This window comes from Homo sapiens, chromosome 14 (genome assembly GCF_000001405.40).
Source record: "Homo sapiens chromosome 14, GRCh38.p14 Primary Assembly".
In the NCBI taxonomy this organism is placed as follows: domain Eukaryota; kingdom Metazoa; phylum Chordata; class Mammalia; order Primates; family Hominidae; genus Homo; species Homo sapiens.
In genome coordinates this window covers 39245625-39257883 of record NC_000014.9, presented here as the reverse complement: position 1 = coordinate 39257883, position 12259 = coordinate 39245625, and the positions used below count along the sequence as shown (strand labels likewise).

The 12259-nt window shown below is 36.2% G+C and overlaps 1 protein-coding gene across 12 annotated transcripts in view; it reads right to left on the bottom strand.

The window, feature by feature from the left end:
* Nucleotides 1-12259, bottom strand: part of MIA2 (MIA SH3 domain ER export factor 2) — a 154608-nt gene that overhangs the window by 130639 nt on the left and 11710 nt on the right. For 11 of the 12 annotated variants that reach the window (XM_024449592.2, XM_024449595.2, XM_024449594.2 and 8 more), the window contains 3 exons: nt 9743-10973; nt 4918-5136; nt 4713-4813 (listed from right to left, as the gene is read on the bottom strand). In XM_024449592.2, coding sequence (XP_024305360.1) covers nt 4713-4813; nt 4918-5136; nt 9743-10973 — 1551 coding nt within the window. Of the gene's footprint in view, nt 1-4244; nt 4814-4917; nt 5137-9742; nt 10974-12259 lie in introns of those variants that run through there. The other variant, NM_054024.4, reaches the window with a different exon arrangement.

The following is a 12259-nucleotide window of genomic DNA, read 5'->3' as shown; positions in this document are numbered from 1 at the left end:
CAATTTTCAACCCAGAATTTCATATCCAGCCAAACTAAGCTTCAAAAGTGAAGGAGAAATAAAGTCCTTTACAGACAAGCAAATGCTGAGGGATTTTGTCACCAACAGGCCTGCCTTACAAGGGCTCCTGAAAGAAGCACTAAATATGGAAAGGAAAAACTGGTACCAGCCACTGCAAAAACACACCAAAATATAAAGACTAATGACACTATGAAGAAACTGCATCAACTAATATGCAAAATAACCAGCTAGCATCATGACAACAGGATCAAATTCACACATAACAATATTAACCTTAAATGTAAATGGGCTAAATACCCCAATTAAAAGACAGAGACTGGCAAATTGGATAAAGAGTCAAGACCCATCAGTGTGCTGTATTCAGGAGACCCATCTCACGTGCAAAGACACACATAGGCTCAAAACAAAGGGATGGAGGAAGATTTACCAAGCAAATGGAAAGCAAAAAAAAAGGAGGGTTGCAATCCTAGTCTCTGATAAAACAGTCTTGAAACCAACAAAGATCAAAAAAAAGAAAAGGGCATTACATAATGGTAAAGGGATAAATGCAACATGAAGAGCTAACTATCCTAAATATATATGCACCCGATACAGGAGCACTCAGATTCATAAAGCAAGTTCTTAGAGACCTACAACGAGACTTAGACTCCCACACAATAATACTGGGAGACTTTGATGCCCCACTGTCAATATTATGACAGATCAACGAGACAGAAAATTAACAAGGTTATTCAGGACTTCAACTCAGCTCTGGACCAAGCCGACCTAATAGACATCTACAGAACTCTCTAACCCAAATCAACAGAATATTTTTCTCAGTACCACATAACACTTAATTAGAAGTGAAACACACCTCAGCAAATGCAAAAGAATGGAAATCGTAACAGTCTCTCAGACCACAGTGCAATCAAACTAGAACTCAGGATTAAGAATCTCACTCAAAACCAACTTGATTACCGTTAAAGCTCAGATAAGTTTTCTTTCTAAAATTTCTTGAATTGTTGCTTCCTTCTCTTCATTTACCTTCTCTCCTTCTGGAAATTCTATTCTTGGCATAAGTCTCTTGGCTTGTTCTATATTTTCTTTTTTTACTCATAATTCCTATTTATGTTTATTTTTCTTTTTTAGATAGTTTCTATATTTGAACTTGCAAAACACTTATTCAGTTTTCAGTAGTGCTGATTCCAATTTCTTCACATTTTTGGAATCTTAAAAATTAAAAATCATTTTTTTCCAAAACCTTTTGCTTTCTCATAATTTCTTTGTTATTTTTTTTTAAAAAGCTGCCTCCTTTAATTTTCCATTGCTTTTGATGTGATGGAATCACTTAAGAAATATCATTTTAATTTTCAAAAGAAAAATGTAGTGTTGATCCCTAGTACTTGAACATTACAAAGCAAGTATGTTCTGCACAAAATCTACCTGAAACTACAATGAATTGGAAGAATTACCTAAAATATTTAGACAAGAAGAAAAGGAAACCTTTCACCTAAATGTAACTGGAAAATTGCTCAAATTTTCCATTTACTACAGCTATTCAAATTTATACTATGGGTGCTTAATAGATACATTCACATTGTTAGAATCCTAGATCTAGCAGGAACTCTCAGAATATTTAGCCTGAAGATTATGAACTTAAAGCCCTGTAGAGACCAAGCAGTTGACATAAATGTAGGAAAATGGAGAGTCCATGTCTATGTAAGCAAGCACTAACCAACTTGAGTTTCTTTTTGCTCCAGAAAAATTGGCAACTATGTATCACAGTCTTCTACTTTTTCAAGAGAACCCAGAAATTCAGATTTTAATATGAGCTCACCTTTTAAATGTTGACAACTGATTCATAATTTTCTTAGACAATACAAAGCCAGTTTTGACCAGCAGCCTGTGATCTCATCTCAGCTTCTGTTATTGGAATTTTCAAACTGGAACTCCTTCCCAGACAATAAGTGACTTTCCAAGATCACAAGATAATTAACATAAATTTAAATTCAATATTTTCATGTCTAAATAATTTCATCCAAAATTGTCCAAGTAAAATGTATTTGACTATGTTTACTGAGTCCACAAAAATAAGCATATTTAGTATAGACTTGATTAAATAAGCACTTTATATAGAAGTGAGTATCATGTGTTGATCAGCAAATTATCTGTTCAATTATTTAACTTCATTCATATAATTTGTGGAGGAGGGGATTAAGAGGTCAGCAAGACATACCAAAAAGTAGAATTAATTCCATGGGGAGTTGAAAGTTTTATTATGGACTATTTTGTAATTATCATTATTGTTAGTTTTTCTTTTCTCCTAACCTGGGACAGATTTCTAACTTTTTCTGTTTTTGTTTTGTTTGTTTGTTTGAGACAGAGTCTTACTCTATGGCCCAGGCTGGAGTGCAGTGGCATGATCTTGGCTCACTGCAACCTCCGCTTCCCAGGTTCAAGCAATTCTTGTGTCTCAGCCTCTCAAGTAGCTGGGATTATAGATGCGCGCCACCACGCCCAGCTAATTTTTGTATTTTTTGTAGAGACGAGGTTTCACCATGTTGGCCAGGTTGGCCTTGAACTCTTGACCTCAACTGATCGGCCCACTTTGGCCTCCCAAAGTGCTGGGATTACACTCAGGCCTGTAGGCCTGAGCCACCATGCCCAGCCTAATGAACGTTTTATAATCAACATCTTCAACACCAAATCATACAGAATAAATTAATGATTTCTCTAAGCTTATTTATCATGTAATGTCAACTCTCTTGAATCAAGCAAAAAAAAATTAAGTGAGGAAGAGGCCTCTGAAAGCAAAATGATGTATGCTATTAAGCCCAGTTTTCACAAAGACTCAATGGCACCACCATCTAACAGGTCCCCCAAGCTAGAAACCTCATAAGTTATCAGGTCCCTGAGCTGGAAACCTGGTATCCTCACTTTTCCTTATAATTCTCCATGCTGCATTCAGTCAGTCATTAAATCCAACGATTCTGTCTACAAAAGATCTATCCAATTTGTCCTTCCAATCATTTCGACTGCCACCATCGGATGTTAGACCAGAGGCTAAAAAATGTGGTTAGTGGGCCAAATCCCACTCACAGAATACTTTTTCTGAACTGCATGGTGTTTTATTTTACTCTGAATATTTGCCAGTATTAAAAATTGTGAGATTTCACACACAAAAATCCAGATTTCCAGCTTTTCTTGAAAATCAGAGTATCTGGGAAACTAGGCTGAAGGCAAGTAGTACCTTTATCCTTTAGACAGCGCATACAATCTCTAGTTGGCTACAGTTCTCACCTTTACCCACACTTCACTCATTTCATTTGAGTTAGTATACCCTGATTTGGATTTTCGCTATTTCCTCATTTTCAGAACTAATGCAACAGCTTCTTGACTGGACTCCCTGCCTCTGGTCTTTACCCCTTTAATCTTTATTTGACAGCATTGATAGACTTTATAAATCAAACTTTTTCATTTTACTCCCTGCTTAAAATTCAATAGTGCCCCATCATCTACAAGATAGAGTTGAACTCCCTATTATTTGACCCCTCTGTACTTCTTCAACTTCAGCCTATGTTCAATCAAACTCAATTGCTTATTGTGCTCCAAAAGTGCCATATTCTCTCCCACTTCACTACTTTAAAAGTGCTCTTCTCAACCTAGAATGCCTATCCTTTCTTTGTCTGGCTAACTCCTACTCTTCCTTCAAAATCAGCTCAAATATGATCTTCTCTGGGACATTCTCCCAGGCTCCTTCTCCCCACCCTCTCTACCTAACACTCCCAATCAATCTACTAGGCAGCTACTCCTGCATATCAGTAGCACCCTGTGACTATTATAGCACTATATTAAAATTATTACTTTTTTATCTGTGTCCTCCAACTAGAGTGAGCTCCTTGAAGACAACCACTATTAAATTTCAGCTTAGAACATAAATAAGAAGATAAAAGTGCTTCCTCAATTATTTCTATCACAGCAGTAGATGAGAAAAGGAACATTTGTAAAAGATCTCTTATATGCCAAGTACTACAGCTAGTCCTTTTGCAATATCTCATTTAATAGTAAAATTTACAAGTGAAAATAGAATTTGGAATTTCAGTTACAGCTTGGTTAAATTTTGATATATTAGTTGCTTTTGTACTCCAACATTATACCATTTTGAGGTTACAACTCTCAATTGAATACAAACAAGTTGCTTTTCATTTTCAGTTTTTTTTAGTTTAGGTTTTTTTTTTTCTTTTTTAAGAGATAAGGTCTAGCTATGTTGCCCAGACTGGTCTCAAACCCTTGGGCTCACTCTTCCCTTTTATTCTCCTTGTTACATTCAGTAAAAGGATCCTCCTGCCTCAGCCTCCTAAGTAGTGGGAACTCCAGGCACACACCACCACACCCAGCTCTAGTTCCTATTATTCCTGAGTTAACTTATTTAGTACCTAACTTTCCCTAATTTGAAAAATGGGGAGGGTGGAGTAAAAAGCAAACACCGCTCAAGATCAACATCAACAAAACTTAGGGAAATGTTTTTAAAAATCAATATCCATTTGACAAAACATTCATATAAAGAGAAATCTTACAGGTAAGATGTCATGGAAAGAGAAACATTATATAAACATTAAACAGGGAGGATTCATTCAAACATATTTTGTAGCCACTCTTATATTTAGCAAAATAGGTAAAATTATTGCAAAAGGTTTAAAAGGCAAACTTACCCTTTCTGTAAGAATTACAATTGGTGAAAATGCAGAATTCATGAAATCATAAACATCAATTTGGAATAAGTATTTCAGAATCTGAAACTCAGAAGCATCTTCTGTTGATTTATAAATAAAAATATGTTAGCATGATATTATATAACTTCTGATTCTAATTTCTTCCTTAATTGATGCATTAGAGAATAAATAACCTGTTTCTTACCTTTCTGAGAAATATAATTTTGAGAAGACAAAGAGTTATCAGTTGAAACCATCTGACTATTTAGCAGGGTATTTTCCACAGATCTGTCTATCTCCACCAGAGCAGGCCCTTCGGTGTCTACTGATGGTTTCGAATTTTCATCACTATCTTTAGAAGATGAGGGTTCAAAATATACTTCTTCGTGAATTCTCGTAGGTAACTCTATGTTAGAGACCATATCTACAAATAAATAAAAAGAAATGTGTTTTTCCAAAATACTTGCTTTGTTGAGGGCTCCCCTTTTGTTTTCTAGGCAGGTCATTTTTCTGAACTTTTGTAGGTCATTATGATACTTCGTTAAAGAAAGGACACACTAAAACATAAATTGTATCCTGTATTAGTTCCTATTGCTAGTAAGATAAATTACCAAAACTTAGTGGTTTAAACAATGCAAATGTATCCTCTTAGAGTTCTGGAAGTCAGAAATTCTAAAACCAAGGTGTTAAAGTTGTCAAGGCTGCATTCCTTCAGGAGGCTCTAGGGCAGAATCTATTTCCTTGCTTTTTCTGCTTTCTGGAGGCCTCCTGCATTCCTTGACTCATGGCCCCATCCTCCATTTTCAAAGCCAGCAGTGTAGCATCTTCTAATCTCTGTCTTACTCTGATACCCCTGCCTTCCTCTTATAAGTAGCCTTGTAATTATATTAGACACACAAGGATAATCTCTCCATTTCAAGATCCCTAATCACATCTGCAAGGTCCTTTCCACCATGTAAAGTAACATATTCTCAGGGTCTGGGGGTTAAGATATAGACATCTTTTAGGGGGCTTTTATTCAGCCTACTACATAGCCTTTTCTTTATTCCTCAGCCAAGGAAGAATTACAAAAGCTATATATAATTCTATTCTCTAACGTGCCTTTTTGTCCTAAAAATTACTTTTAAAAAACCCTAAAACTAACATAACTGTCAACAATTCTGTTGTACTATATATGTACATATATAGTATATATGACTAAGAATAAGGCAGCACATAGATTCCCTTCAGATTTCATTCCTGCTATGTATGCATTTGTTAAACAGAAGGTGTAATATCTTAAAAAAAGTATCAGTGTGGTCCTGAAAAACAATAATAAAGAGTAGTAAGTGAATTGTTCAATGTCTAATTTTGCTCTTTGAGCTTGTGAGTCTTAACATAGCACTTTGACAGTTTCATTTATTTATCATTGTTTAAAAGATGAAAGTCCCAATTGAGCAAACACATACCAGTAATTTAGTAATAGCACCTGTGGATGATAATACTTAACAAGAGCATACAAATCAGGAGTCTGTATTCAAAGGGATTATTGTACATACAGGACTCAAGTAGTGATCTACAATAATGTTTTATGCTATAAGAAAAAAAGGATTATTCAATAATTATACTCAAATTTATATGTAGCTATATTGATTATTTTAAAATACTGTTTTAAACTGCATTTGAAATAAATATATAAGAAAAATGAATATTCCCTATACTATTTTCATATTTAATTATATTTTTAGATATTATTTACACATTTAAACCTAAGCTTTAAGATTTATATTAAATACAGATATGCTTTTATCATTGCTTATTAGCAGAATTTTAAGTCAAAATAATAATTTTTAATATTTAACTGTACTGGGGAGACTCATTATTTAAGTATGCACAATTGGAATCCTTTTGTAAAATCGTTATGCACATTGTAATATAAATAACCGTTCCCTAGTTTACCCGTTTTGTAAATTCCTAAATCAATATGTTAGTTTTCTATAAATGTGGTTATCTCAAGTCTGAGCCTTTCACAGAGATTCAAGATCAGTGATTCATCTTGCTTATGCACTATAATTACAGCAAGTTTTCATTTGTTATTCCCTGAAAGAGTTGTTGGAATCTTCAGAAAAGATTGGCTGTTTAACTCTTTCTCTAATATCCAGAATATAGGGCCTGTGGCTTTATAGAAATCTCTCTTTTAGGATGCTTTTTTAAAAACAAATTTTTGCATGATCTCGTGTTGCTTTTCATTCAATTCTTATTTAATATTGTAGTGTTTTGGAATAGCCCACTTTGTTAATAAATGACGTCTTTTTTTCTGAAATTTAAAATAATTTCTGAATATTTTCATAAAAGTTCCTCAAAACTAGTTAAAATTGCAGGAACATCCTATTGTCATTTAACTATTTACCAATTTTAGAAATTCTTCCAGTATCTCTATATAAAATGATAAATTTTAAATATATATATATATATATATATATGCATATTTTTTTTTGAGACTGAGTCTCACTCTATTGCCCAGGCTGGAGTGCAGTGGCGCAATTTCAGCTCGCTGCAACCTCCGCCTCCCGGGGTCCAGTGATTCTCATGCCTCAGCCTCCCAAGTAGCTGGGATTACAGGGGCACACCACCATGCCCAGCTAATTTTTCTATTTTTAGTAGAGACAGGGTTTCATCATGTTGGCTAGGCTGGTCTCAAACTCCTGACTTCAAGTAATCTGCCTGCCTCGGCCTCTCAACGTGCTAGGATTACAGGCATGAGCCACCACACCCCGCCAATATTTTCTTTAGAGAAAAAGTGTCACTGTGTTGCCCAGGCCGGCCTCGAACTCCTAGGCTCAAGTGATTTCCCACCTCAGCCTCCCAAGTAGCTGGGACTATAGGATCACACCAACACTCCCAGCTAAATAAAATGTACGAAAGTGATTTTTTTGTGAAATCCTTTTGTATTCCTTGAGTTTCTATGATTGTGCTCTAAAATATTTTTATATATCAATCTTTGGAATCATCTGGATTTCTGGATCTAATATTGTTTGGTTGTAGTCTGTCTTCCTTCTAATTACTGTGATCTGCCTTTTCATAAATATTCCTTTAGGATCTAACAAGTTTAGAACAAGAGAATTTACCTTTTAATTAGCCTTTAACAACCTAAAAAGGTCTCTAAGCTTTTTAGTCATAAAAAGCATCACGCCTACACCTTTCTCATTTGGAAAAGGGTTAGAATCTAAATATCTATATGTTGGTTGAGGATGTTGAGTAGAGAGCTCACATTTTAGGGAATGTTAAGGTATTACGTATAGTTCTGGAAATTCAAAAAAATCACCTGGTTCTAATGGAAATGTGTTTCCTTCTGAGTTTGTTGCCCTCTTCCTGTAAAAGGTTTTCTGTCATTCTAGGGTTTGTTTTTGTATTATTGGTCAATATTTGCTGCATTTATATTCTGTCCATCATAGAGTCATAAGGATGGAGATGTCGGAAAGTCATAAAGTTTTCTACTTAAAATACCATCCACATGTTTTTAATCATAGAAGTTGCTAGATACCTGGACATCTAGATCTGAAAGTATTATCTTATATTCTGTTGCCCACTGTTGAACTCTCAGAATTCAGGGACTTGAGGGAGAAAGTTGAAAACTTTTTCCCTTTTTTTTTTTGCTTGAGTTTTCTTATTACCTTGAAACTTAAAGAAAACCCTTGTTATCAGCTGGGCACGGTAGCTCATGCCTGTATTCCCAGCACTTTGAGAGGCTGAAGTGGGAGGATCCCTTGAGCCTGTATTCCCAGCACTTTGAGAGGCTGAAGTGGGAGGATCCCTTGAGCCTAGGAGTTGGGACCAGCCTGGACAACATAAGGAGACCCCATCTCCACGACATATAAAAATAAATTAGCTGGGTGTAATGGTGCAGACTTGTAGTCCCAGCTACTCAGGAGGCTGAGGTCGAGGGATAGATTGAGCCCTGGAGATTGAGACTGCAGTGAACTGTGATCGCACCACTGCACTCCAGTGTAGGTGACAGAGTGAAACCTTGTCTCAAAACAAAAACAAAAGAAAACTCTTGTTATCCTAGTTCTTCTTAGGAAAAACAAAACTGCAGACCTAGAATAAGATCTAATTTAATAATCAAAACTATTTAATTAAACTTTCCTTTAGCTGGCCAGGCACGATGGCTCACACCTGTAATCCTAGCAGTTTGGGCGGCTGAGTGGGGCAGATCGCTTGAGCTCAGGAGTTCGAGACCACCATGGACAACATAGTGAAACCCCGTCTCTACAAAAAATACAAAAATTAGCGGCTGTGTTGGCACATGGCCATAGTCCCAGCTACTTGGGAGGCTAAGGTGAGAGAATTGCATGAGCCCAGGAGGTCGAGGCTGCGGTGACCTGAGATCATGCCACTGCACTCCAGCTTAGACGATAAAGTGAGACCCTGTCTGGAAAAAAAAAAAAGTTTCCCTTAGCTTAGGTTTCTAAGAAAATCGTTCAAATATAGTTGTATTGGGAAGGTGTTATTGGGCTAAAAAGCGAATGTGAATGAGAAAATCCACACCTACCAGAATAGGAAATCAATAGACATTATCTAAAATAGGATAATCAAAGCAGGACAGTATAAAGATTCTATTTAGAAAACTCTTAAATACTAAAAAGATACTGCTTTAAAAACAAAAAAAGAAAATTACTGTCTCTGGGAAAGCAGTGGGAGTGGAGGTAGATGGAGAGAACAGAAATTGCTTTTGTCAAAAAAAAAAAATGCCTTAGCACTATTTCAAATTTTAAACTATTTACATACAATATTCTGATAAAAATTAAAATTTATTGTAAAATACTTTAAGATTTTCTTGGAGCATCTTTAGATCTCCAATCATTGTTTTTCTGTTGAGATTTTATTTTATAATATTAAGATCTAAATTCCAGAGTAAACTGGAAATTGATGAAAGAGCTAAGTATTCTGAAAAACGTGGATTCCTGGACTTTTTCATCTGATTTGCACTTATAAAAATAAATTATGTTTAAAAATAAAATAAATTCTAATGTAAATATTTTCATACCAACCTGACAGACTGTATGAACTTTTGAATATCATAACTTTTGTATTATCTGTGGGATAATTATCAATGGAAAATTCTCCAGTTTCTTCATTTTCAATTACATTATTTTGATCCAGTATCTGTTTGGGAAATGGCAATTCTGTTTCCTTTGGAATGTTCTGGAAGTTCCAAGGGTTGTCAAAATTATACAAGAACTTTTTCAAATATGGTATAGTATCAGATTCGTCTGTTTTTTCTGAGACTGGTTTCTTGTCTATTTGATCTTCTGTTTCTATAATTTTTATCGTTTCTATTTCTTGTTCTTTTTCAGGGTCTAATTCACTTGTTAGAGGATGTTCATGTTCATCTGCCCCACCATCTTCTTCATTTTTCCTGTCATCTAACATAATTTTATCTTCCTTGGCATATGCAAAGCCTAGTATAGCAAAACCAAAATCAAACCAACTTGGCTTGAGACTCAAGCTATCATTAGTGATTGTGTCTTTTTTTTCTGTTAATATTTCTGTACATGGAACTGTGGCTTCTTTATCAGATGATATGGAATTGGGAAAATCTTGTAGTGGTGGATTGCTTTCTTCAGCTATTAATTCAAGCCCTGTATCCTCATCTCCAAAACCTAAATAACTTGTAAATCCTCCACCAAACCAACCAGTGGATTGAGGTTTGGGAATGTGCTCTGACTCAGATGCTAGTTCAGACTGTGTCTTTGGCACTGAATCAATTTCTGATTCAGATTCTTGCTGATGTTCTGTTTGAGGCTCACCATTATTTAATTCCTCTAGGTCATTCTCATCTTCCACTGCTATTTTTCTACTCCGAAATGAGCTTTCTTGTACAGGTTCAATAACTGATTCAAAAGCCTTCTCTTCAGCTTGTTCTCCTCCCAATCCAAACCATTCTTTGACTCCAGACACAGCTGAAGATGGTGGGACATGCACTTCTGGAATACGATCCTGTTCCATACTTTCAACAACTACTTCTTCCCAGTCTTTTGATTCACTGGTACTTCCGATATCTTCAGGAGCCTCTAATGCTGGAACTTGGTCTTCAAACAAAGTACTTTCATAAGTTGCATAAAATCCAGGTTCTATCTGAAAATCACTTTCATATATACTAGATTTTTCATCTTTATCTTCTTCATAAGGATATATATTTTCACCATAATCACCGTTTAATTCACTATCTTCATTGTCAAATGTGTAACTTACTCCAAGAAGACAAAGAAAGTCAGATTCCTAAAAGGAAAAAATATATATATGATTAACATGAATGTACTAGAGCTCCTTGTTTCTCCCTGAGTCATTTAAAATGGATGATTGTGATATTCCCAAGACACATGACTAGCTCAACAGCAGAGCAAAAACTCAAACACTTGTATCACAACTGACTTCAAGGCTAATTATGTAAACCTAAATGAAAAACCTTTTACATTATGGTTTTTTGTTTCTTTGTTTGTTTTTAGAGACAGGGTCTTGCTCTGCTCCCAGGCTGGAGCAGAGCTCACAGCTTGCTTGAACTCCAGGATTCAAACAATCCTCCCTCCTCAGCCTCCCAAGTAGCTGTTACTATACCCAGCTAATTTTTAAAAATTGTGAAGATAGAGTCTCGCTATGTTGCCCAGGCTGAACTTGAACTTCTGGCCTCAAGCATTCATCCTGCCTCAGCTTTCCAAAGCACTGGGATTACAGATGTGAGCCACTGCCCCAGGCCCATTATGATTTATTTGTTATTAAATAGTTGGAATTTTGGGGCCAGGTATGGTGGCTCACGCCTGTAATCCCAGCACTTAGGGAGGCTCAGGCGGGTGGATTGCCTGAGCTTAGGAGTTCGAGACCAGCCTGGCCAACATGGCGAAACCCATCTCTACTAAAAAATACAAAAATTAGCCAGGCATGGTGGTGGGCGCCTGTAGTCCCAGCTACTCAGGAGGCTGAGGCAGGAGAATTGCTTGAACCCAGGAGGCAGAGGTTGCAGTGAGCCAAGATCGCACCAATGCATTTCAGCTTGGGTGACAGAGTGAGACTCTGTCTCAAAATAAATAAATAAATAAATAAATAAATAAAAATTTTTAAAAATAATTGAAATGTTTGAGAAGCAGAGGCAATCAATGCTTTCAGTGTATTCTGCAAACAAAATCTGATGAAAAGGCATGCATATCCACAAAATCTTGTACCTCCTAAGAACACACTGACTGAACACATGTGTGTTTGCCTTGATTTGAGGTAGGGTTCTATGGTTTGACTGTGTCCCCAAAAACCATATATTGGAAACTTAATCCCAAATGCAATATTGTTGACAGGTGAGGCCTGGTGAGAGGTGATCAGTCCATAAGGGCAGAATGGGTGGGATTAATGCCATTACTACATGAGCGGGCTTGTTATCACAGGAGTGGGTTCCCTTATAAAAGGACCACCAGTTCAGCGCCTGTCTTGCTCTCTCTCTCTCGCTTTCTCCCCATCTTGCCTTCCAGTATGAGATGTTGCATCAAGAAGACTTCTCAGCCTTCAGAACTGTGAGAAAT